Source organism: Homo sapiens, chromosome 14, assembly GCF_000001405.40.
Source record: "Homo sapiens chromosome 14, GRCh38.p14 Primary Assembly".
Taxonomy (NCBI): Eukaryota; Metazoa; Chordata; class Mammalia; order Primates; family Hominidae; genus Homo; species Homo sapiens.
Genome location: NC_000014.9, coordinates 80861874 through 80889355, shown reverse-complemented (window position 1 = coordinate 80889355; position 27482 = coordinate 80861874). Strand labels below are relative to the sequence as shown.

Genomic DNA, 27482 nt, shown 5'->3' with positions numbered 1-27482 from the left:
ATGCCTCCAGCTTTGTTCTTTCTGCTTAGGATTGTTTGGCTATGCAGGCTCTTTTTTGGTTCCATATGAAATTTAAAGTAGTTTTTCTAATTCTGTGAAGAAAGTCAATGGTAGCTTGATGGGAATAGCATTGAATCTATAAATTACTTTGGGCAGTATTGCCATTTTCATGATATTGATTCTTCATGTCCATGAGGATGGAATGTTTATCCATTTGTTTGTGTCCTCTCTTATTTCCTTGAGCAGTGGGTGTAGTTCTCCTTGAAGAGGTTCTTCATGTCCCTTATAAGTTGTATTCCTAGGTATTTTATTTTCTTTGTAGCACATGTGAATGGGAGTTCACTCATGATTTGGCTCCCTGTTTGTCTATTATTGGTGTATAGGAATGCTTGTGATTTTTGCCCATTGATTTTGTATCCTGAGACTTTGCTGAAGTTGCTTATCAGCTTAAGGAATTTTGGGGCTGAGAAAATGGGGTTTTCTAAATATAAAATCATGTCCTCTGCAAACGGAGACAATTTGACTTCCTCTCTTCCTATTTGAATGCCCTTTATTTATTTCTCTTGCCTGATTGCCCTGGCCAGAACTTCCAATACTATGTTGAATAGGAGTGGAGAGAGAGGGCATCCTTGTCTTGTGCTGGTTTTCAAAGGGAATGCTACCAGCTTTTGCCAATTCAGTATGATATGGGTATGGGTTTGTCAAAAATAGGTCTTATTATTTTGAGATATGTTCCCTCAATACCTAGTTTCTTGAGTGTTTTTAGCATGAAGCGCTGTTGAATTTTGTCAAAGGCCTTTTCTGCATCTATTGAGATAATCATGTGGTTTTTGTCATTGGTTTTGTTTATGTGATGGATTATGTTTATTGATTTGCGTATGTTGAACCAGCCTTGCATTCCAGCGATGAAGCTAACTTGATCGTGGTGGATAAGCATTTTGATGTGCTGCTGGGTTTGGTTTGCCAGTATTTTACTGAGGATTTTCGCATCAACGTTCATCAGGGATATTGGCCTGAAATTTTCTTTTTTTGTTGTGTTTCTGCCAGGTTTTGGTATCAGGATGATGCTGGCCTCATAAAATGAGTTAGGAAGGAGTCCCCCTTTTTTCTATTGTTTGGAATAGTTTCAGAAGGAATGATACCAGCTCCTCTTTGTACCTCTGGTAGAATTCGACTGTAAATCGGTCTGGTCCTGGGCTTTTTTTGGTTGGTAGGCTATTAATTACTGCTTCAATTTCCAAACTTGTTATTGGTCTATTCAGGGATTCAACTTCTTCCTGGTTTAGTCTTGGGAGGGTGTTTGTGTCCAGGAATTTATCCATTTCTTCTAGATTTTCTGGTATATTTACATAGAGGTATTTATAGTATTCTCTGATGGTAGTGTGTATTTCTGTGGGATCAGTGGTGATACCCCTTTTATCATTTCTTATTGTGTCTATTTGATTCATCTCTCTTTTCTTCTTTATTAGTCTGGCTAGCAGTCTATCTGTTTTGCTAATTTTTTCAAAAAACCAGCTCCTGAATTCCTTGATTTTTCGAAGGTTTTTTTGTGTCTCTATCTCCTTCAGTTCTGCTCTGATCTTAGTTATTTCTTGTCTTCTCCTAGCTTTTGAATTCTTTTGCCCTTACTTCTCTAGTTCTTTTAATTATGATGTTAGGGTATCGATTTTAGGTCTTTTGCACTTTCTGATGTGGGCATTTAGTACTTTAAATTTCCCTCTAAACACTGCTTTAGCTGTATCCCAGACATTCTGGTACGTTGTGTCTTTGTTCTCATTGGTTTCAAAGAACTTCTTGATTTCTGCCTTAATTTTGTTATTTACCTAGTAGTCATTCAGGGGTAGATTGTTCAGTTTCCATGTAGTTGTGCAGTTTTGAGAGAATTTCTTAATCCTGAGTTCTAATGTGATTGCACTGTGGTCTGAGAGACTGTTTGTTATGATTTCCATTCTTTTGCATTTGCTGAGGAGTGTTTCACTTCCTATGATGTGGTCAATTTTATAATAAGTGCTATGCAGTGCTAAGAAGAATGTATATTCTGTTGATTTAGGGTGGAGAGTTCTGTAGATACCTATTAGGTCTACTTGGTCCAGAGCTGAGTTCAAGTCCTGAATATCCTTGTTAATTTTCTGTTTCATTGATCTGTCTAATGTAGACAGTGGGATGTTAAAGTCTCCCACTATTATTGTGTGGGAATCCAAGTCTCTTTGTAGATCTCTAAGTACTTGCTTTATGAATCTGGATGCTCCTGTATTGGGCGCATATATATTTAGGGTAGTTAGCTCTTCTTGTTGCATTGATTCCTTTACCTTTATGTAATGCCCTTTGTCTTTTTTGATCTTTTTGTTTTAAAGTCTGTTTTATCAGAGACTAGGATTGCAACCCTTGCTTTATTTTTTGCTTTCCATTTGCTTAGTAAATATTCCTTCATCCCTTTATTTTGAGCCTATGTGTGTCTTTGCATGTGAGATGGGTCTCCTGAATACAGTACACCAGTGGGTCTTGACTCTTTTTCCAATTTGCCAGTCTGTGTCTTTTAATTGGGGCATTTAGCCCATTTACATTTAAGGTTAATATTGTTATGTGTGAATTTGATCCTGTCATTATGATGCTAGCTGGTTATTTTGCCCGTTAGTTAATGCGGTTTCTTCCTATTGTCAATGGTCTTTACAATTTGGTATGTTTTTGCAGTGGCTGGTACTGGTTTTTCCTTTCCATATTTAGTGCTTCCTTCAGGAGCTCTTGCAAGGCAGACCTGTTGGTGACAAAATCCCTCAGCATTTGCTTGTTTGTAAAGGATTTTATTTCTCCTTCAGTTATGAAGCTTAGTTTGGCTGGATATGAAATTCTGGATTGAAAATTCTTTTCTTTAAGAATGTTGAATATTGGCCCCCACTCTCTTTTGGCTTGTAGGGTTTCTGCTGAGAGATCTGCTGTAGTCTGATGGGCTTCCCTTTGCAGGTAACTTGACCTTTCTCTCTGGCTGCTCTTAACATTTTTTCCTTCATTTCAACCTTGGAGAATCTGACAATTTTGTGTCTTGGGGTTGCTCTTCTCGAGGAGTATCTTAGTGGTGTTCTCTGTATTTTCTGAATCTGAATGTTGGCCTGTCTTGCTAGGTTGGGGAAGTTCTCCTGGATAATATCCTGAAGAGTGTTTCCCAACTTGGTTTCATTCTCCCCATCACTTTCAGGTACACCAATGAAACATAGGTTTGGTCTTTTCACATAGTCCCATATTCCTTGGAGGCTTTGTTTGTTCCTTTTCACTCTTTTTTCTCTAATCTTGTCTTCATGCTTTATTTTATTTAGTTGATCTTCAATCTCTGATATCCTTTCTTCCGCTTGATTGATTTGGCTATTGATAGTTGTCTATGCTTCGCGAAGTTCTCATGCTGTGTTCTTCAGCTCCACCAGGTCATTTATGTTCTTCTCTAAACTGGTTATTCTAGTAAGCAGTTCCTATAACCTTTTATCAAGGTTCTTAGCTTCCTTGCATTGGGTTAGAACATTCTCCTTTAGCTTAGAGGAATTTGTTGTTACCCACCTTCTGAAGCCTACTTCCGTCAATTTGTCAAACACATTCTCTGTCCAATTTGGTGCCGTTGCTGGAGAGGAGTTGCGATCATTTGGAGGACAAGAGTCATTCTGGTTTTTGGAATTTTCAGTATTTTTGCACTGGTTTTTCCTCATCTTCATGGATTTATCTACCTTTGATCTTTGATGCTGATGGCCTTTGGATGGGGCTTTTCTGTGGGCATCCTTTTTGTTATGTTGATGTTACTGCTTTCTGTTTGTTAGTTTTCCTTCTCACAGTCAGACCCCTCTTCTGCAGGTCTGCTGGAGTTTGCTGGAGGTCCACTCTAGACCCTATTTGCCTGGGTATCACCAGCAGAGGCTGCAGAACAGCAAATATTGTTGCCTGCTTCTTCCTCTGGAAACTTCGTTCCAGAGGGATACCCACCTGATGCCAGCCGGAGCTCTCCTGTATGAGGTGTCTGTTGACCCCTGCTGAGAGGTGACTCCCAGTCAGAGGGCACGGGGGTCAGGCATCCACTTGAGGAGGCAGTCTGTCCCTTAGCAGAGCTCGAGTGCTTTTCTAGGAGATATGCTGCTCTCTTCAGAGCCAGCAGGCAGGAACGTTTAAGTCTGCTGAAGCTGTGCCCACAGCCACCCCTTTCCCCAGGTGCTGTGTCTCAGGGAGATGGGAGTTTTATCTATAAGCCGCTGACTGGGGCTGCTGCCTTTCTTTCAGAGATGTCCTGCCCAGTGAGGAGGAATCTAGAGAGGCAGTCTGGCCCCAGGTACTTTGCCTTGCTGTGGTGTTACTCACAGTCAAGGTTAACACTATGAGGGGAAAACTGCCTACTCTAGCCTCAGTAATGGCGATGCCCCTCCCACCACCAAGTTCGACTTCAGACTGCTATGCTGGCAGCAAGAATTTCAAGCCAGTGGTTCTTAGCTTGCTGGGCTTTGTGGGAGTGGGACCCGCTGAGTGAGACCACTTGGCTCCCTGGCTTCAGCCCCCTTTTAAGGGAGTGAACAGTTCTGTCTCGCTGGGGTTCCAGGCACCACTGGGCTACAAAAGAAAAACTCCAGCAGCTAGCTCGGTGTCTGCCCAAACAGCTGCCCAGTTTTGTGCTTGAAACCCAGGGCCCTGGTGGTGAAGGCACACAAGAGAATCTCCTGGTCTGTGGGCTGCAAAAACCATGGGAAAAGCATAGTGTCTGGGCCGGATAGCACAGTCCCTCACAGCACAGTCCCTCACGGCTTCCCTTGGCTAGGGGAGGGAGTTCGCCAGTCCCTTGCACTTCCCCGGTGAGGCAATGCCCCACCCTACTTCTGCTCATCCACTGTGGGCTGCACCCACTGTCTAGCCAGTCCCAATGAGATGAACTTGATACCTCAGTTGGAAATGAAGAACTCTCCCACCTTCTGTGTTGGCCTTTCTGGGAGTTGCCGACTGGAGCTGTTCTTATTCAGCCATCTTGACAGCTCTCTGTATAATGGTTATTAATCCCTTGTCAGGTTGATAGTTTGCAAAATTTTCTGTCATTTTCTGGGTCGTCTCTTCATTTTGATGATTGCTAACTTCGCTGTGTGCAAGCTTTTTAACTTGATGTGATCCCATTTGTCCGTTTCTGCTTTGGCTGCCTGTGCTTTTTGGATTATTACTCAAGAAATCTTTGCTTACTCCAATGTCCTGGGGAGTTTGGTCCCCAGTGTTTCTTTGTAATAGTTTCATAGTGTGAGGTCTTAGATTTAAGTCTTTAATCTATGTGATTTGATTTTTGTATATGTTAAGAGATAGGGATCTAGTTTCATACTTCTGCATATGAATATCCAGTTTTCCCAGCACCATTTAAGAGATGTTCCTTTTCCCAATACAAGTTCTTTGCAACTTGGTCTAGAATGAGTTTGCTGTGATTGTATGGATGTGCTTCTGGGTTTTGTATTCTGTTTCATTGGTCTATGTTTCTGTTTCTATGCCAGTTCTATGCTGTTTTGGTTACTATAGCTGTGTAGTATAATTTGAAGTCAGGTGATGTGGTTCCTCCAGTTTTGTTCTTTTTGCTCAGGATAGCTTTGAATATTATGGGTCTTTTGTAATTCAATATTAATTTTAGGATTTTTTTTCTATTTCAGTGAAGAATGTCATTGGTATTGCATTGAATCTGTAGATTGCTTTGGGTAGTATGGACATTTTAACAATATTGATTCTTCTAGTCTATTAACATAGAATATCTTTCCATTTTTTAATGGTTTCTCTTTAATTCCTTGCATCAATCTTATATAGTTTTCACTGTAGAGATCTTTCACTTTTTTGGTTAATTCCTAAGTATTTAATTTTTATCTTTAGCTATTGTAAATTGGATTACCTTCTTGATTTATTTTCCAGTTTGTTTGCTGTTGACATATAGAAATGCTACTGAGTTTTGTATGTTGATTTTGTATCCTGCAACTTTACTGAGTTTATCAGTTCTAGCAGTTTTTTGATGGAGTCTTTAGGTTTTTTTCAAATAGATGATCATATCATCTGCAAACAAAGATAATTAATTTGACTTCTTCCTTTTCAATTTGGATGCCCTTTATTTTGTTTTTTCCCACTCTCAAAGATTCAGCCTTTATTCTATTTTATTTTAAAAAATTTTTTATTTAAAATTTTGCGGGTAGGTAGTAGGCATGTATATACTTACAGGTACATGAGATGTTTTGATATAGGCATGCAATGTGTAATAATCACATCAGAGTAAATGGAGTATCCATTACCTCAAGTGTTTATCCTTAGTGTTACAAACAATCCAATTATACTCTTTTAGTTATTTTAAAATGTACAATTAAATTCTTATTGACCTTAGTCACCTTTTTGTGCTATCAAACACCAGGTCTTATTCACTGTATTTTTTTATACCCATTAAACTTCCCTTCCTCTTACCCATCCTCCCACTACCCTTTCAGCCTCTGGTAACCATCCTTGTACTCTTTATCTCCATGAGATCAATTGTTTTTATTTTTAGATCCCACAAATAAGTGAGAACATGTGATGTTTGCCTCTCTGTGTTGGCTAATTTGACCTCCAGTTCCATCCATGTTGTTGGAAATGACAGAATCCCATTGTTTTGATGGCTGAATAGTACTCCGTTGTGTATAAGTACATTTTCTTTATCCATTCATCTGTTGATGGACACTTAGATTACTTCCAAATTTTGGCTATTGTGAATAGTGCTGCAACAAACATGGGAATGCAGATGTCTGATACACTGATTACCTTTGTTTTGGGTTTATACCTAGCAGTGGAATTGCTGGATCATGTGGTAGCTCTGTTTTTAGTTTTTTGAGGACCCTTCATACCATTCTCCATAGTACTTGTACTAATTTACATTCCCACGAACAGTGTAGGAGGGTTCTCTTTTTTTCCATACCCTCACCAGCATTTGTTATTGTCTGTCTTTTGGATATAAATCATTTTAACTGGGGTAAGATGATATCTCCTTGTAGTTTTGATTTGTATTTCTCTGATGATCAGTGATGACCTTTTTGTATGCCTGCTTGCCATTTGTATGCCTTCTTTTGAGAAATGTCTATTGAGCTATTTTTCCCATTTTAAATTGGATTATGAGATTTTTTTTTCTGATAGAGTTGTTTGATCTTCTTATATATTCTGATTATTAATTTATTGTCAGATGAATATTTTTTGTCATTCTGTGGGTTGTCTCTTCATTTTGTTGATTGTTTCCTTTGCTGTACAGAAGCTTTTTAACTTGATGTGATACCGTTTGTTCATTTTTGCTCTGATTGCCTGTGCTTGTTTGGATGCCCTTTCTTTATCTTGTCTTATTATTCTAGCTAGGACTTCTAGTGCTATGTTGAGTAACGGTGGTGAAAGTGGGCATTCTTGTCTTGTTCCAGATCTTAGAGGAAAGGCTTTCAGTGTTTCCTCATTTGGGATGATAGTTGCTGTGAGTCTGTTGTATATGGCTTTTCTTATGTTGAGGTATATTCCTTGGTTACTCAGTTTTTTGAAGGTTTTTATATAGTTTTGTCCTGCATTCTGTTTATATGATGTATCTCATTGATTAATTTGCATGTGTTAAGCCATCCTTGCATTTCTGGGCTAAATCCCACTTGGTATTGATGACCTTTTTTCAATGTGTTATTGAATTCATCTTGCTAGTATTTTGTTGAGGGTTTTTGCATCAGTATTCATCAAGGATATTGGCTTGTAGTTTCCTTTCTTGATGTGTCTTTATCTGGTTTTGGTATTAAGATAATACTGCTCTTGTAAAATGGCCAATATTACTCTATTACTCTTCTTACTCTATTTTTTTGAATAGGTTGAATAGGGTAAGTATTAGTTCTTTAAATGTTTGCTAGAATTCAATAATGAAGCCATTGGGTTTCAGGGTTTTCTTTGCTAGAAGACATGTTACGTCTTTTATCTCTTTACTTGTTATTGGTCTGTTTAGCTTTTGGATTTTCTCATGGTTCAATCTTTGTAGGTTGTGTCTGTCTAGGAGTTTTCTTCTAGATGTGTTTTAGATTTTCCAATATATTGGCATATAGTTACTCATAGTAGCCACTAATGATCCTTTGAATTTCTGCAGTAGCAGTTGTAATGTCTCCATTTTCACCTCTGATTTTATTTATTTGGATCTTCTCTATTTTTTTCTTAGTTTGACTAAAGGTTTGTCAATTTTATTTATCTTTTCAAAAAACCAACTTTTCATTTCATTGATCTTTTGTATTTTCTTAATTTCAATTTCATTTATTTCTACTCTGATCTTTATTATTTTTTCTACTCATTTTGGGTTTGGTTTATTCTTGCTTCAGTTTTTTTTTTAATGCTATCATAAATGGAACTGTTTTCCTGATTTCTTTTTCAGTTACATAATTGTGTATAAAAATGTAGTAATTTCTATGTGTTGATTTTGTATCCTTTACTGAAATTATTATTATTATTATTATTATTATTATTATTATTATTATTATTTTTGAGATGGAGTCTTGCTCTGTCGCCCAGGCTGGAGTGCAGTGGCGAGATCTTGACTCACTGCAACCTCCACCTCCGAGATTCACGCCATTCTCCTGCCTCAGCCTCCCGAGTAGCTGGGACTACAGGCGCCCACCACCATGCCCGGCTAATTTTTTGTATTTTTTTTTTTTAGTAGAGAGGGGGTTTCACTGTGTTAGCCAGGATGGTCTTGATCTCCTGACCTCGTGATCCGCCCACCTTGGCCTCCCAATGAACCTTATTATTTTTAATAGTTTTTTTGTGTGGAATCTTTGGGGTTTTTGATGTGTAGGACCATTTCCTCTGCAAATAGAGATAACTTTACTTCTTTTCAAATTGGATGCATTTTATTTCTTTTTTTGTCTGATTGTTCTTGCTGTTACTTTTAGTAGTATGTTGAATAGAAGGAGGGGGCATCCTTGCCTTGTTCTGGATTGTAATGGAAAAGCTTTCAGTTTTTCTTCATTTTTATAATGTCCACCATGGGCTTTTCATAAATGGCTTTTATTATGTTGAGGAACTTTCCTTATATGCCTAAACTGTTGACAGTTTTTATCAAGAAAGTATGTTGGACTTCGATAAATGCTTTTTTTTTTCTTATCAGTTGAGATTATAATGTGGTTTTTATCTTTTGTCCTGTTAATATGATGTATGACATCAATTTGCATATGTTTAATCAGCCTTGCATGCCAGGAATAAATCTTATCTGGTCATGTTGTATAATTTTTTTGATGTGTTGTTGGCTTTGGTTTGCAAATATTTTATTGAAGATTTCCATCAGTGTTCATCAGAAAGATTGTCATAGCTTTCTTCTCTTGTGATGTCTTTATCTGGCTTAGGTTTCAAAGTGATAATCCTTCATAAAATGTGTTTTGATGTAGTTATTCTAGCTCCATTTTTTGGAAGAGTGTAAGAAATTTTGATATTCTTACTACTCTTAATTGTCTTTGATTTTTGACAGCGTGATTAGAATATGACTTGAAGAGGATCTCTTTGAGTTGAATCTGGGAACATTTGAGCTTCGTAGATCTGGATATCTGTATCTTTTCCAAGACTTGGGGGGTTTTCAGCAATTATTTCATTAAGTAAACATTGTTTTCTTTGTCTTTTCTCTTTATGAAATTCCCATAATGTGAACATTTGTTTGCTTGATGGTTTTTTATAAGTCTTTACTCTTTTTCGTTCTTTTTTCCCCTCTGGTTGAGTCATTTCAAAATACTCATCTTCAAATTCACAAACTGTCTCTTCTGTTTGATCTAGTCTGCTGTTGCAGCTCTCAATTTTATTCTTGTCTCATTGATTGAATTCTTCAGCTCCAAGATTTATGATTGGTTCTTTTTTTAATAACATGTATCTCTTTGCTGAATTTCTCATTCAGATCATGAGTTGTTTTCCTGTTTTTACTGAATTGTCTATTTGTATTTTCTTGCATCTCATTGGAGTTTTTAGAGTATTATTTTGAAATTCCTTTGGGGCAATTTATAAATTTTTGTTTCTTTGGGATCAATTACTATATAATTATTGTGGTCCTTTGGTGGTGTCATATTTCCTTGCTTTATCATTTTTTTGTGTGTCCCTGTGTTAATTTCTGCCTATCTGGTGGTACGGTCACTCCTTCCAAACTTCACAGAGTGGCTTTTATAAGGGAAAACATTTAGCTGCAGATGGGCCTGAGGGTCCTGGCATGGCAGAGTGTGGTGGCTCTGCTTCTTTGTTAGTGCAGTGTTGTAGTCTCTGTGAAGTTTTTTCAGTTGTGATCAATGTTAGTGATACCTGCAGAGCCTCAGTGGTCTAGGCTGAAGGAATTTGTGGTAGTGACAGTGACTGTGTAGGTTATTAGAGCAAGGATTTTAGGGATTCTCCTGTTTTTGTCTTCCTTAGAGTGGGGATTCTTAGCTGAGAGGATCTCTCTTGAAGTTGGATCTGACGTGGTTCACAGGCAGCTACAGTGGCACTGGGATCCACAACACAGATGCTCAGAGTGGTCGTGAGGTCAGACTCTTGCACACATTGTCTTCTGAAACTTGTAGCACCTGGGACTTGAGGCACAGAATCACTCTCCAAGGCATGAGTGGATGCAGTTCTTCCAGTAAGCTAAGGTTTGTTGCTCTAAGGGACAACCTGGTAGCTCAGGCCCAGGGGGTTGGGAAGCAGCTGTGGTTCTTACCCATGGGAGCAGGCACCACACTTGTATGGCTCCAACGAGGAAGGGGTGCTCCAGAGGCTCAGGCCCTGGGGTTGGGCACAACTGCAATTTGGGACCTAGAACCAACAGGGCACAGTAGAAGGCTGGACTCCAGGTTATGAGGAACCATGCAGTGGTGACTCTGTACTCTAAGATGGTGGGATATGGTAGTAACCTAAGTTTTAAGAGGCCAGGTGCAACAGCAGCAAGGACTGAGGAATGGTAATATACCACTGTGGCTTGGATCTCAAGTGGTGGAGAGAAGCACAGAGATGACTCCATTCCTTGAAGAGGTGAGGTGCCTGAGTAGCTTAGACAGTAGAGGGCTAATCTAGTTTCAGGTAGATGGGGTGTTTTCTGGTTCTTGGGCATGGAGGGTGGAGTGGCACAGCTCAGCCATGGCTCTTATTCCCTGGGATGTGAGGCACTGCTAAAAGTGCAGCTACGTGAGTCAGTAGAGCCTCTGGATTCCTGGGTATATGGTGTCATGTCACCTGTGTGCTGGAAGGTGCAGCTGCTCTAATATGCTGGAGGACCAGGGTCCCTGCTGGGGGAGGGGCTGCTGCCTCACCAATGGCATGGTGTTGAAGGAGACTTCTCTGGTGTGTAGGAGGCCAGAGGTCCCTGTGTGACAGAGCACTACCTCGGCTGTGCCATGCGGGGTGCCACTTCTCTGGTATGTAGGAGGTCTGAGGTACCCAGGTGGTAGGGTGCCACATCTGCTCTGGCTCCAGAGGCATAAATTCTCCAGTAGGCCAGAGGCCTGAGGTACCTGCGGTGGGGGGTGGGTATTGTCTTGTCTGTGGCAACTGTTGTGAGACTGTTCTAGCACTTCAAGGCTCTGGGTTCCTGGGAGTGGGGCATCCCTTCAGCTTGGTCTTAAGGGGAGGATATAGCAGTGACTGAGATGGGGATATGCAGTGACTGAAGTAGCTTGTCCCTAGGTGGGTAGGGCTGACCCCAACTGGGGGGATGAGATGGTGGAGGCAAGGTGATTCCTTTCCTTCCCTGTGCAGCCATTCTGGCTTTTTGTGCCCTATAGAATTTCTGTGGCTACCTTGCTGTTCTCATTGCTCTCCTGTAGTTATTTTGGTTCAAAATGTGTTTTTTGTGTGTGTGCCTTTTCTTGTGGTGGAGAAAAGTGCTAGGAGCTTTTAGTTGGCCAGCTTGCTGATGTCACTCAAAGAAGTTTTATATCTTATACATTTTTTTTACAACTTATTTCTTGAATTTGATATCTTTCATGCTATTTTATAGAGTATCATTAAATATTTTTTTAAAGGTCAGTGTAACACTGTTTTGATTTGGAGGATTTGCTGTATTACATTTAATGTAAATGTTGATTTCATTTATTTAAATCTACCATCTTACTATTTGCTTTCTCTTGGACCCACTTACTATATTTCCATTTTTTGTGTGTGTTTTTTTTCGTTTTTATTAGTTTTCATTTTTCTGTATTCCACGTCTATTAGCTTTCTAATTATATCTTTTTATTCCTTTGTTAACCTAGGGATTACAACATATGTCTTTAAAATATCAAAACTAATATAAATTAATTCTTTTAGCTCTTTCCAGAAAATGCAAAGATCTTATAGCACCTCAACTCCATAAACCCCGCTTTTCACTTTTATGCTATTTTGTTATTTAATTTTGTATTTAATTGAGCCTTAGAAGGCATGACTATTATTTTATGCAATAAAGGTTTATTTAGGTTTACCCTTAGATTTACTGTTTTTTGTTCTTCAGTCCTTTCTGCATTTTTCAGATTGCACATCTACCTTAAGAACATATTTTAAGATTTCCTTTAGGGTGAGTGTGCATATGCCTGAAAGTATCCCGTCTAGAATTTCCTTTAGAGCGTGTGCTTTGGTGAAAAATCTTCTCTGTATGTGTCTGAAAATTTCTTTCACTTTCTATGTTGAAAAATTTTCACTGGATATAAAATTCTAGATGGGCCATTTTCCCTCTATTCTGTATTTTAAAGAAATTTAATCATTTGGGGGTTTTATTGCTTCTATTGAGAAATCAGACACTAGTCTTATTGATGCTTTTTTTTTTTTTTGAAATGGGAGTCTTGCTCTGACACCCAGGCTGGAGTGCAGTGGCACGATCTCGACTCACTGCAACCTTTGCCTCCCAGTTTCACGCGATTCTCTTGCCTCAGCCTCCCAAGTAGCTGGGACTACAGGCGTGTGCCACCATGTCCAGCTAATTTTTTGTATTTTTAGTAGAGATGGGGTTTCATCATGTTAGCCAGGATGGTCTCGATCTCCTGACCTTGTGATCCACCCTCCTTGGCCTCCCAAAGTGCTGGGATTACAGGCATGAGCCACTGCGCCCGGCCTGATGCTTTTTTTTTAAGGTGTAATAGATTTTTTTCTCTAATTGCTTTTGGGTTTTTCTTCTTTGTCTTTGTTTTTATTTATAGTTTTACTGTGATAAGCTTAGTTGTGTGTGCATGTGTGTGTGTGTGTTTTGACTTGTTGCTTGCTGCTTATAGTACCATTACCTCTTCAAAAATTACTTTTATTCTTTGTCTCTTCTTTTAGGACTTCAGATTTCATATAATCTTGAACTTTTGACTTCATCCCCTTTGTCTCTTATGCTCATTTCTGTCAGTTTTAATTCTTTCTTCTTTCTTTCTTTTGAATATTTTCTTCTATATAGCACCTCAACTCCATAAACCCCGCTTTTCACTTTTATGCTATTTTGTTATTTAATTTTGTATTTAATTGAGCCTTAGAAGACATTACTATTATTTTATGCAATAATGGTTTATTTAGGTTTACCCTTAGATTTACTGTCTTTTGTTCTTCAGTCCTTCCTGCATTTTTCAGATTGCACATCTACCTTAAGAACATATTTTAAAATTCCCTTTAGGGCGAGTGTGCATATACCTGAAAGTATCCCATCTAGAATTTCCTTTAGAAAGGAAATTTTTATTTCTTTTTATTTAGTAACTTAATCTCTCTTCAACTGAGGCAAGCCTATTAAACCCACTCACTGATTTTCATTTTAAGTCATTGCAAGTTTCAGTACTAGAATTTTCATTTGATTGTTTTTAACTTTGTAATTGTTTTCCAAAATCATCAATCTGTTTATCTGTGTCTCATAGCTTCATTATCTAGATCTTCAATGTGTCTGTTTCGATTGTCTATTATCCTTTGCTTTTCTTGGACTTTGATCACATTGTTTTGTCCTACTGTTTAGTTTTGATTCTTTAGTTATTTTTGTTTGATGACAGAAAGCGTATTTTATTTTCTGCCAACAAAATTTGAATAGATAATTTGAGGCTTAGGACATTATTACGTATGAGAATATAGACATTTATTTTTTGTTATAGACTAGGGTCAGTAGCAATCTTGGATTATCTTATTACTTGTTGTTGAGATACTTAATAAACTTTGGTACTGGGTCTTAAGTATTTCTGGTTCACCCTTACTACTTGCGTATAGCCCTTCAGGATTCCAGTCCAAAGGCTAAGAGAGTGATTAATCAGGGACCCATTACTTGCAAGTCTCTCAGCTCAACACTTTTTCTCATTTAACTTTAAGAATCTGCTAAAAACTTTGTTCAGCTTCTCAGTGTCTCAGCTGCCTTTTCTGAAATGAGCTGATATTTCAGGGGAAAAAGTCGTTCTAAAGGATAGACCATTCTCTCCGGTTTTCTTTCTTCTGCATGTTATTCTTATATTTCCTTATTACTTTTTAACTTCCCAGTGTTTTAAAAAACAGTTATATTTGGCCAGGCGCGGTGGCTCACGCCTGTAATCCCAGCACTTTGGGAGGCTGAGGCGGGCGGATCACGAGGTCAGGAGATCGAGACCATCCTGGCTAACACAGTGAAACCCCGTCTCTACTAAAAATACAAAAAAATTAGCCAGGCATGGCGGTGGGCGCCTGTAGTCCCAGCTACTCAGGAGGCTGAGGTGGGAGAATGGCGTGAACCCGGGAGGTGGAGCTTGCAGTGAGCCAAGATGGCGCCACTGCACTCCAGCCTGGGCGACAGAGCGAGACTCCGTCTCAGAAACAAACAAACAAACTATATTTAAAATATTCTTTCTAGCTTTCTAGTTACTTTCAACTGAATTATCTAGTCTGTTATTTCTGGAAGTGAAACTCCTTTAATCTTTTTTATATATCCGATGTCATTACTATGTTTGCTCTTTCCTTTCTTTCTTTTTTTTTTTGGAGACAGAGACAGAGTCTCACTCTGTCACCCAGGCTGGGGTGCAGTGGTGTGATCTCAGCTCGCTGCAACCTCCACCTCCTGGATTCAAGTGATTCTCCTGCGTCAGCCTCCTGAGTAACTGGGATTACAGTTGTACACCATGACACTTGGCTAATTTTTGTATTTTTAATAGAGACAGGGTTTCGCGATGTTGGCCAGGCTGGTCTCAAACTCCTGACCTCAGATGGTCAGCCTGCCTCAGCCTCCCAAAGTGCTGGGATTACAGGTGTGAGCCACCCCACTGCACCCAGGGTACGTTTTCTAATGCACAAGATTTGACTAAGTTTTTCAACTGTTGCCTGAGGCTTCTTTCACTTGCTATATAGATATACATCTTGTGAACATGCTTGTTGTATTAGTTTATTTTTATGCTGCTGATAAAGACATACGAACTGGGCAATTTACAAAAGAAAGAGGTTTAATGGACTTACAGTTCCACATGGCTGGGGAGGCCTCACAATCATGACGAAAGGCAAGGAGGAGAAAGCCAGGTCTTACATGGATGACAGCAGGCAAAAAGAGAGAGCTTGTGCAGGGAAACTCCCGTTTCTAAAACAATTTTATTTAAAATATTCTTATTTTATTTAAAATATTTTATTTAAAATATTCGTGATGTTAAAAATATCACGGGAATAGTGCAGGAAAGACCCGCCCCCATAATTCAATCACCTGCCACTGGGTTTCTCCCATGACACGTGGGAATTGTGGGAGTTACAATTCAAGATGAGATCTGGGTGGGGACACCACCAAATTATATTACTTCTAAACAGGATTTGATCTAAATTCAGATATCCTTAATATTCTACTGAGGTCCCTGTAAAGCTGAGTGAGCCATGGTCATATCCAGCTGTACTGTCATGCTGTTTTTTGAAACTATTAGATAGTTAGGATGGTTTCAATTTGGGGTTTAATAGTACCAATTTGCATAGTGCACATTACATTTATTGTTTCACCTTTCACCACGTGACAAGAGAACCCATAATAAACAGTTATCATTTTATTTGGATTTCTTTCACATAGCAAATAAAACTAGTAAGTATTATCTATATATAGTCTACAGTTTTACTTTGTATTTAAAATGTAGCCACTGAGTAAAAAGTTAGCAGTTAGCTGAATTCAGAGAGAGCTCAAACTCTTTCACATAATTATTGCCATGCATCAAGAATGACTCCATATCACATAAAGTGCAACTGGATGTCACTCCTCACTGGTGCCCAGCTCATTGGTGTAATTGCTGTATAAAACATGCTAGTTTACCCAGCTATCCCCTCTGCCCAGCTCATGAGGACACAGCCTTTTATATTGTCTAAACCCAGAAAATTGTGCCCACATAATTGTACACTCAGTTGAATTGTTCATGTGCCAGTTCCTTACATCAAGTTGTGATGTTACACCTTGTTTTGTGCTTTGTGTAATTTGCTGTCAAAGTAAGATTGTCTCATAATTGCACGAAGGGCATCTCAAATTTCTTATGGGTGTGTATAGTCCTGATTAAGAAAAAAATGTCCAAAGTGAAACTTAATAATAACATTGTTGGAATTAAGAAGGTCTTCTGAAGGCCACATGATGTTTGTTTCCAGGGCTTAATATAGACTTTGTGACTCATTCCAATTGAAGTCAACATTTATGTTTTATAACTGGTCGATGTATTGTGTTGTATTTGTGAATTCATAACCTGCTGTCAGAGAAGATGGTTTCATTATTTGAGTGTTAAGCTTCTCAGAGACTGCAGCTGTTTCCCCTGCTTCAGATTTAAGTTTAAAATAAAATTACCAAAATGATGCACCTTCACTGTGGCAAACTTAAATATTGTACATACATAAAGTGAAAATAAATGCTGCCCCTATTTCTTGCCAATTTCACTTTCTACTGGTAAGCCCTCTTAATCACGTTTATTGTGTATTATTCTGAGGCTACAGTTGTTTATCATGCATTTTCTCAGTGACTAAAATATATCTTGAAAGCTTATGGAACACATTTTTCTTTGAGAGACAAAAAGTTGTGGTTGCTGTCATATATGTCAGTATTTGATGTGTTAATCTTTTGTGAATCATAAATATTTTTTGCTAATGTCAAATTGTCCATTGGAAGGGAAGAGTTATTGTTTATAGTATGATGTCATGGAAAATATTTTCTATTAACACTTAATTGTGGTGATACGCAATCAATATTGCATAGGCCTTATACCATATGGGAAATTTCAGTTTATTAGTTGTCTAGATTTTATTGAGCTGAGTGTGATATGACTGCATGTTATTTGATTATTTTTGGAGGAAAAAGTCAATTCTATTTTAGTTTTCTATAGGAGGATCACTATTAAAAATAAAAATGTAAACATGGATCCAGCTGTTTCTGGAAGGGTTGACCATTAATAGAGTTTATAAGAATTCTGTCAATACTGCATTTAGAATAACAGGATTATTGCATAGATCACAGCAGCAGGATATATAACATATTTATTTAAGTGGACTTTGAAGCACCAGGTATTGTTAAAGATCTGAGGAATCAACATATTGAAAAGCGAGAATACCATCTTTTAAACAGAATGCTTTTTCTTTTGTTTGACCTTTCATTAAATACTAATCTTAAAAGCCATTCTAATTTTTATTCTTGTTATTTTGCTATTTTTATAACCAAATATGGAGATTTAGGAATTTTTGGTATTCTAGTCTTAAACTTAGTTGATAATGGTATTCTGGTAAATATGAATTTTTTAGTATTGGATTACATTTCTAATATTTTTCCCTTAGGTCTCAGAGAAAGAAAAAATAAAGAAGTTCTAAAATATACTTTCTTTAAAATAATTCTTATTATTAGGAATTATGTCATCACTCAAAAGCTATAAATATATGTCTTTAGGTTAAGGTCCACAACCTTCATTTAGGGTTGTTTTTACTTACTTTGGTCTTCACTGTCTCAGGAAATGGCATCATATTCCATCCAGCACGTTAAGCTGGTCACCAAGGATTCATCTAGATCCATTTCTTTACACCATACTTCCAATCCATTACAAAATCCTGTCCCTTTAATTTCTGAAATCTTGCTCAATTCCATCTACTTCTAATACTACTTTTCAAGCTACCATCTCTTCTCAGTGGGTTTACTGCAGTGGCATCCAATGAAGTTGGTCCCTCTGCTCCCATACCTGCCTTTATCTGTGCTTCTCACTGCAGGCAAATTATTTTTTTAAATTGTCATTATGTTTAATTATTCCTCCAGGTTTAAAAATCCTACCTGGGTTTCTTTCGTTCCAAATTCTTTACCATGGTCTATAGTGCCTACGTTATGTGGCTTTCTCTGTATATCTTGATTTTTTTTTCCACTGGCTATTTTCTTTTACCAAGATTTTACATTGCTGACTTCCTCTTTCTTTAATTTTTTTTATTTTCAGAGTACAAATCTTTCATCACCTTAGGTAAATTTATTTCTTCGTATTTTTTGGGTGCTATAGTGAACAGGACTTTTTTTTTTTGAGTTGTTATGTATAGAAATGCTGCTGATTCTTGTATGTTTAATTTTGATTTCTGCAACTTTACTGAATTTGTTTATTACTTCTAACAGTTTTTTTTAGGGGCCTCTTTAGGGCTTTCTGTATATAAGATCATGTCATCTGAAAACAGGGACAATTTGACTTCTTCCTTCCTCATCTAGATGCCTTTTATTTCTTTTTCTTGCATACTTGCTTTGGCCAGGACCTTCAGTACTACGTTGAATGGAAGTGTTCATACTGGGCATCCGTGGCTTTTTCTGATCTTAGGGAAAAAGCTTTTAGATTTTTACTGTTGAGTACTATGTTAGCTGTTGGCTTGTTGTATATGGCCTTTATTATGCTAAAATAAACTCATTCTATGTCTAATTTATTGGAAGTTTCTCTTTTTATCATGAAAGGATGTTGAATTATATTAAATGCTTTTTCTGCATCTATGGAGAAGACCATATGATTTTTATTCTTTATTCTGTTAATATGGTATGTTACACTTATTGATTTGCAGCTTTGTATTCTGGGGATAAATACTAAGTGATCATGGTGTAATGATTGGTGTAATGATTCTTTTAATGTGCTACTGAATTTGGTTTGCTAGTATTTTGCAGAGGATTTTTACATCTGTGTTCATCGGGGATATTGGCTTGTAATTATCTTTTTTAGTAGTGTCTTTGGTCTCATGGTACTGCTGGCCTCATAGGATGAGGTTGGACATGTTCTCTTATCTTCAGTTTTTTGGAAGAGCTTGAGAAGGATTGGCATTAGCTTTTCTTTACATGTTTGGTAGATTTTACCTGTGAAGTAATCAGGTTCTGGGCTTTTCTTTGTTGGGAGGTCTTTGATTACTGATTCAATCACCTTACTCATTATTGGTTTGTTTGGATTTTCTGTTTCTTTGTGACTCAGTCTTGGTAAGTTGTAGGTTTTTAGGAATTTACCCATTTCTCCTAGGTTATCCAATTTGTTGGCATAAAATTGTTCATAGTATTTTCTTATAAGACTTTGTATTTTTGTGGTATCATTTGTAATGTCTCCTCTTTTACTTTTGATTTTATTGACTTGAGTCATTACTCTTTTTTTCCTTATTCAGTCTAGCTAGCATTTTGTCAGTTTTCTTTATCTTTTCAAAAAACTAACTTTAAGCAGAAAAAAATAACTCCTGGGTACTAGGCTTAATACCTGGGTGAAGAAATAATCTGTACAACAAACCTCTGTGACACAAGTTTACCTATGTAACAAACCTGCCCATGTACCCCTGAACCTAAAATAAAAGTTTACCCAAACAACTGTTAGTTTCATGGATCTTTTCTATTGTTTTTCTAGTCTATTTCATTTATTTTTGCTGCAATCTTTGTGATTTCCTTTCTTCTATTGACAGTGGCTTAGTTTAGTTTAATTTTGTTTTTTAGTTTCTTGAGGTATAGTTAGGTTATTTATTTGAGATCTTTTTCTAAATGTAGGCATTTATTGCCATAAAACTCCCTCTTAGAACTGCTTTTTTGCATCCCATAAGTTTTGGTGTATTGTATTTCTGTTCACATTTGTATCAAGGAATTTTTTCATTTTCTTTTAAATTTTTTATTTGACCCATTGATTGTTCAGAATTGTGTAGTTTAATTTCCACATATTAGTGAATTTTCCTATTCATTTATATCTAGTTTTATACCACTGTGATCTAAAGGGACACTTATTTTCTTAAATATGTTAAGACTTGTTTTGTGGCCTAACATGATCTATCCTGGAGAATGTTCTGTGCATGCTTGAGAAGAATGTGTATTCTGCTGCTGTTTGATGGAATGTTCTGTATATGTTTGTTAGGTCCACTTGTTCTAAAGTGTAGATCAAGTCTAATGTTTCTCTATAGACTTTCCGTCTGGATGATATGTCCATTGTCCACAAAACTACTATTGTATTTCTGTTTAATCTTTTTCTTCAGATCTATTAAGATTTGCTTTATATATTTAGGTGCTCTGATTAGGTGCGTATACATTTACAATTATATCCTCTTGATGAATTGACTCCTTTATAATTATTTAATGAGCTTGTTTCTTTTTACATTTTTTGACTTATAGTGTATTTTCTCTGATGTAAGTATAGCTACCTCTGTTTTCTTCTAGTTTCCATTTGTGTAGAATACCTTTTTCCATCCCTTCATTTTTTGGTCTATTTGTATCTCTAAAGTCTATTTATGAGTCTCTTTAGGCAGCATACAGTTGGGTCATTAGAAAAAGTCTAAGTAGCTACTCTATGTCTTTTGACTGGAGAATTTAATTTGTTTACATTTAAAACATTTATTTATAGGTAGGAACTTGCTACTGCCGTTTTCTTAATTGTTTTCTGAATGTTTTATAGTTTCTTCATTTATTTTTTTCTCTCTGTCTTCCTTTGTGATTTGATAATTTTCTGTAGTGGTATGCTTTGACTGCTTTCTCTGTCTTTTAAATATGCACAAGTTTTTTTCTTTGTGGTTACCATGGTATTTACATAAAATGTCTTGTAACAATCTATTTTAAGCTGATGACAACTTAACTTTGACTGCATACAGAGTCTACACTTAACTTCCCCTCCCATTTTACATTATTGATGTTACAGTTTACCTCTTTAAATATTGTGTATCCATTAAAATTATAGCAGCTATATTCTTAATACTTTTGTCTTTTAAACTAGAGTTAAAAGTAACTTAAACACTACCATTATAAGTATTAGAGTATTATAATTTGAGTATATTCATACTTTTACAGTGAATTTTATGCTTTCATATGCTTTTATGTTATTAGCATTCTTTCATTTTGTCTTGAAGAACTCCCTTTTATATTTCTTGTAAGGCAAATTAATGGTTATGATATTCTTGGTTGGCAGCACCTGTCTCCCCCCACCCCCTGCCAGGACTTTGAATTTATCATCTCATTCTCTCCTGGTTTCTGCTGAGAAATTCACTGATAGTCTCATAAGGGTTCCCTTGTATGTGATGAGTTGTTTCTCTCATGCTGCTTTCGGCATTTTCTCTTTGTTTTTGCCTTTTGAGAATTTGATTATTGTGCGTTTCAGTAAGATCTCTTTATATTTAATCTATTTGTAGTTATTTGATCTTCAAGGATCTGGGTGTTCTTTTTCCAGATATAGGAAATTTTCTGCTATTATTTCTTTAAGTAAACTCCTCTCATCTCCTTCTCTTTCTTTGCTCCTTCTGGGACTTCCATTATGAGTAAATTTCTTTACTTGATAGTATCTCATAAATTCCATAGCCTCTCTTAATTCTTTTTCTTTCTTGTTTTTTTTGTTTCTCTGAGTGGGCAATTTCAAATGACCTGTCTTTGAGCTCATGATCTAGTTTGCTTCAAGATTGCTCTGGAATTATTCAGTTCAGTCATTGTGTTGTTTAGATTAAGAATTTCTGTTTTGTTCTTTTTGATGGTTTCTATCTCTGCTGAATTTCTAATTTTGTTCATGCAACAATTTTCTGATTTTGTTGTCTGTACAGAAGCTTGTCCTTTCCCATAGTTTTGCTCTCTATGGTTTCAGCTTCGTGTGGTCAATTGCAATATAAAAATAGTAAATGAAAAATTCCATTAATAAACAATTCATAAGATTTAAATTGCATGCCATTCTGAGTAGAGCAATGAAATCTTCAGTAGTCTCACTTCATCCCTCTTGGCACATGAATCATCCCTTTATTCATTATATCCATGCCATAGACACAACTCACCCATTAGTTGCTTAGCAGTCATGTCAGTTATCAGGTTCACTGTCTCAGTAACCTGATAGTGCTTTTGTTCAAGTAACCCTTATTTTACTAAATAATGGCTTCAAAGTGCAGAGTAGTGAGGTTGACAGTTTGGCAATGCCAAAGAGAAGCCATAAAGTGTTTCTTCTAATTGAAAATGTGAAACTCTCAACTTAGTAAGGAAAGAAAAAAAATATATACTGAGATTTTTAATTTCTGTGATATGAACAAATTTACTGTCTGTGAAATTATGAAGGGAAAAATTGTTCATGGTATATATAGGGTTTGATACTATCCTCGGTTTCAGGCATCTGCTGGGGATTGTGCAGTGTATCCTGCATGAGTAAAATGGGACTACTGTATTCTCTTGTAGCTCACTGAACTTATTTAAGATGATTATTTTGTATTCTTTGTTAGGCAGTTTGAAGATCTCCATTTCTTTGGGATTGCTTGCTGGTGCTTTATTTTGTTCTCTTAGTGATACCATGTTTCCCTGATCATTTATGATCCTTATGGCCTTAGTTTCTGTGCATTTGAAGAAGCAGGCACTTCTTCCAGACTTTATAGACTGGCTTTGGCAGGGGACTCCCTTTACTTAATGAGTCTATGCAGAGATTTTTGGTAGGCTCTCTAGCAGGGCTCATTAATGAGCTTTGCTGCTGGTATCTTTTTGGGAGCTGGCCTTGTGACTGGGTCAGCAGATGGCCTGAGCTGGTATCTGGGTCCCAGAGGCTAGCCTGTTGTCTGGGTTTATGAGTTTGAGCCTGGAGCCTGTATTCACTGGGGCAGACATTGACTTTGGGTCTTCTGTGGGGGACCTGGATCCTGGCTCCTCTGGGGCTGGCCTGGCACGAGGGTCTACTGGTGTGGGGCAAGTTGATTGGGTCTGCAGGGGTGTCCCTAGTGCCTGGGTTCTTAGGGATAGGCTTGGAGCTTATGCCCATAGGAGCTGGTCTGGCACTGTGGTGAGACTAGAGCCTAAGTCTGTTGGGGTCTGCCTGGTGTTGGGATGGGCCTGGTACCTGGGCCCACGGGGGAAGGCCCAGAGCCTGTGCTTACAGGGGCCAGTCTAGTACTGAGGTGCACCTGGAACCTGAGTTCCTGGAGGTGGGCCTGGTGCCTGCATCTGTGGGGGCTGACCTGTATACTGGGTCCATAGGGATGGTCATGGTGTCTGGGTATGTACAATTAGCATTTAATGTAACATATTTCCCCTAACTTGCTGGCTTAAAACAGCATTTCATTTGGCAGTTTCAGTGGGTTGAGAGACAGGTGTGGCTTTGCTGGGTCCTTTGGCTCTGGGTCACTTGCAGGCTGCATTTTTCTCAAGGCTTGACTGGAATGACAAGCCATTGTCAGGATTCAGTTCCCTGTAGGTTACTGGATTTGAGACTTCAGTTTGTCATGACCTGTTAAAAGGCTTCTTTTGTTTCTTTGACATGTGGCGTCTCCGTAGAGCATCTCATAACATGGCAGCCTGCTTTATTAGAACAAGCAGACAAGAAGATGACTGGCAAGAGGGAAGATGCTAGCAAATTGGAAGTCAGTTTTTTGCAATCTAATAATGGAAGTGACATCCCATCACTTCTGCAGTGTCCTCTTTATTAGAAGAAAGTCCCTAGGGCTAGCCTACACTCAAGGGTAGAGGATTACACAAGTGCATGAATACCAAGAAGCATGGATCATTGGGACCTATGTCAGAAGTTGTGTAAGAGAAATGTTAATATCAAAATTAAGAATAAAACTACCAAATAATCCAGCAGTCCCACTTCTGGATACATATCCAAAGGAAATCAGTGTCTTGAAGAGACATCTATACACCCCATGTTCATTGCAGCATTATTCACAATAGTCAAGATATGGAAACAATTTAAGTATCTATTGACCAAAGAACAGATAAAGAAATACACATACACACGTATATACACCCAATGGAATATTGTTCAATTTTTAAAAAGAAGGAAATCCTGTCATTTGCAGCAACAAATGGATGAACCTGAAAGACATTATGCTAAATGAAGTAAGGCAGATACAAAAATATAAATACTGCATTATCTTACTTAAATGTGGACTCCAAAAAGTCTAGTTCGTAGAAGCAGAGAGTGGAATGGTGGTTGCTAGGGGCAGGGCAGGGTTGGGAGGGGTCAGGAAAATGGGGATATGTAGTACAAAGTTTCCCTTATGTAGGATGAATAAGTTCTAGAGAGCTAATGTACAAAATGGTGACTACAGTATTGGCAAAAATAATGTTAGCTAAGTAAAGTGATAGATATGTTGATTGGCTTGACTAGTTATTTCACAATGTATATGTATATTAATACATGAAATTATGTTTCAAAAAAACTTTTACTTAGAAGAAATCAAAGGCTGGGCATGGTGGCTCACGCCTGTAATCCCAGCATTTTGGGAGGCCAAGGTGGGTGGATCACTTGAGGTCAGGAATTCAAGACCATCCTGGCCGACATGGTGAAACAACATCTCTCCTAAAAATACAAAAATTAGCCAGGCGTGGTGGCAGGTGCCTGTAATCCCTGGTACTAGGGAGACTGAGGCGGGAGAATCACTTGAACTCAGTAGGCAGAGGTTGCAGTGAGCCGAGATCATGCCACTGCACTCCAGCCTGGGTGACAGAGTGAGACTGTCTCAAAAAAAAAAAAAAATTGAGAAACAATCTTCCAAGTATAGTAACTCTGTATCATCATATGTATTAGCTATGGTGACAAAGTTGCTGATGTCTAAATAATTTTGGATATTGATTTCAGTATGTGGTTACTTGGACTGCTTTAATTTTGATAGGATTCTAATAAGAGCAGCCTTCTTTTCTGAAATATAGAAGTCATTCAACTTATTGAATTTAATCAGAGAAATTTTAACTACTCATTCATTGTCAGTCTTCAATAGATAGCAAGCTATTTGAAGGCAGAGTCTGGGGATACAGTATAAATTTGGACTCCCCCAGAACTTCACTACTAATAGCCTACTGTTGACAGGAAGCCTTGACAATAACATAGTCAATTAACACATATTTTGTATATGTATTATATATTGTATTCTTATAATAAAGTAAGCTAAAGGAAACAGTTATTAAGAAAATTATAAGGAAGAGAAAATACATTTACCATTCATTAAGTGGAAGTTGATCATCATAAAGGTCTTCCGCCTTCAAGTTGAGTAGGCTGAGGAAGAATTGGTCTTGCTATCTCAGCAGTGGTAGTGGCAGAAGAAAATCCACTTATAAGTAGACCTTTGCAGTTAAAATCCCTGTTGTTCAAGAGTAAACTAAACTTCTGCTCTGCCTAAGTAAACTTATGTTTATTTATTTTTTTAAAACTTGATTGAGCTATAATGCACCATAAAATTAATGCTTTAAGTGTACAATTCAATAACTTTTTTTTTCCATACATTTACTGAGTTATCCAGCTACCTCCCTAATTCACTTTAGAACATTTACACGACCCCAATAAGGTTCCTTGTCAGGACTTTTCTTGATTCTTTGTCATATAAATAATTGGTGACAAAAGATTTCTTATAACAGCTGTGTTTATTGCTTCTCTTATATGAATACAAATGTCTTCTGTGTCCTTATGTACCAAATATAGACATTGTCAATAGTGTAAATTTTATTTAGTGGGCTGTATAATGAAATACATGAGATATGTTTGAATTTATGCAACTTTTAGTAAGGAGAATTTTGTGTCAGAGAGAAAAATTCTTTCACGTTTAGAGTCCTGATTAAACATTTTCAGTTTGACTTTCTTTCACGTTTAGAGTCCTGATTAAACATTTTCAGTTTGACTTTAGTTTTTGATCTTTTATAGCTTGTTTTATTTTTAGCAGATTGCAGTAGAAAAGATTGATAAGCTAATGTAAAGCCCTCTTAATTATTTACTACAAATAAACATCAATACCTTCATAGGCAGGTCATGCTCATGGATAATAAAAATAGAAAAGGACTAATTAGGTCGAACAATTTATCATTAATTGGCTAACAAATGCAATTTTTAGCAAAATTGGTATTTTCATTCTAACTCACCAGAGGGCACTCTTTTCTAGTGTATTACTTTTAACTCTGATCTACTGAATTATTATATCATACCTCAAAAAATTTGAGGCATTTATTGGGATCCAGGTGTCGATTATTTGGAGATCAGTGATGACTTTCTTTTGTAACTTTCAGTAAGCTTTTTGGCCAGCTATTTCATGTTAGCGTCATTAGAAGGGGCTTTGCAAACAAAACAATCTTAAATGCTTTAAGCAGTAGTGTATCTGCTATAAAACTATCTTCTCAATTTAGTCTGTTTTGCTTGCTAGCTCTATAATGCTGCTGTTTCTCTGAATTCTTATTAAGGTTTCAGATCGGGTGGAGCGGCGGCTTCAGGAACTGGAGAGAGAGATGCGCACAGAAAGGGAGCTGGTGGAAAGACGCCAGGATCAACTGGGACTCATGTCCCTGCAGCTACAGGAGGTTTGTGAAAAACACTTTCATGGAATGTAAATCTTGAATTTGGATGTTTATTTAGCCATGTTAAAATGGTTATTGCATGTGACAGTATAATTCAACCCATCTGAGAAGTATTAATATCACATATTGGTTATAGTTCAGTGTATAGAATCAGACCTCCCTGGTTTCATACTTGCTGTCCATGTGACATTAGTTGGGCAAGTTTCTTAACTTCTCTAGGCGCTAGTTTTGTCTGTGGAAAATGGAAATAATAATAGTATTGACCTAATTAGATTAGTGCAAGGATAAATGAATTAATGCCAATACAGCTCTTAACATACTGTTTGTCATATGCTCGGAAAATGTTAACTGAAAGTATAATTATTCTGATTAATTTTTCTGGGCATAGACTAGACCAGGGGTCATCAAACTGTGGCTCACAGGTCAAAGCTGGCCCATTGTCTATTTTTGTAAGTAGTTTTATTGGAGCACAACCACTCCTATTCATTGATAGATTGTCTGTGGGTGCTTGTGTGACACAATGGCAGAGTTGAGTAGTTGTAGCCCACAAGTATATATGGCCCATGGAGTTTAAAGTATTGGCAGTTTGGCCCTTTACAGAAAAAGTCTGACAACTCCTGAATTAGGTTATTATCAAACCAATTTAAAATGGAGAATAGTTACCCTTAAGGTACTCTTTTTAATTTGAAATTGCAGACATAGATAAAGTTGAAAATTTAGAATGAAGAATTTCTGTATAACATTTACCTAGATTCCCTTATTATTCATATTTTACCAGACTTGCTTCATCATTTATTCTAGATACATCCACATATATGTAATTTTTTGTGAAACATTTTTAATTTGCAGACATGATATACATACTTATCTGTGAATCTTAAAGTCA

At 37.2% G+C, this 27482-nt stretch overlaps 1 protein-coding gene across 15 annotated transcripts in view; it reads left to right on the top strand.

Annotated features, from left to right (window-relative positions):
• CEP128 (centrosomal protein 128) overlaps positions 1-27482 on the top strand; it is a 482534-nt gene that overhangs the window by 70147 nt on the left and 384905 nt on the right. For all 15 annotated transcript variants that reach the window (NR_157142.2, XM_047431023.1, XM_011536493.3 and 12 more), the window contains one exon: positions 26483-26599. Coding sequence is in view for 14 of the 15 variants with exons in the window: in XM_047431023.1 (XP_047286979.1) it covers positions 26483-26599 (117 nt within the window). In the remaining variant the exon portion in view is untranslated. The remainder of the gene's footprint in view (positions 1-26482; positions 26600-27482) is intronic.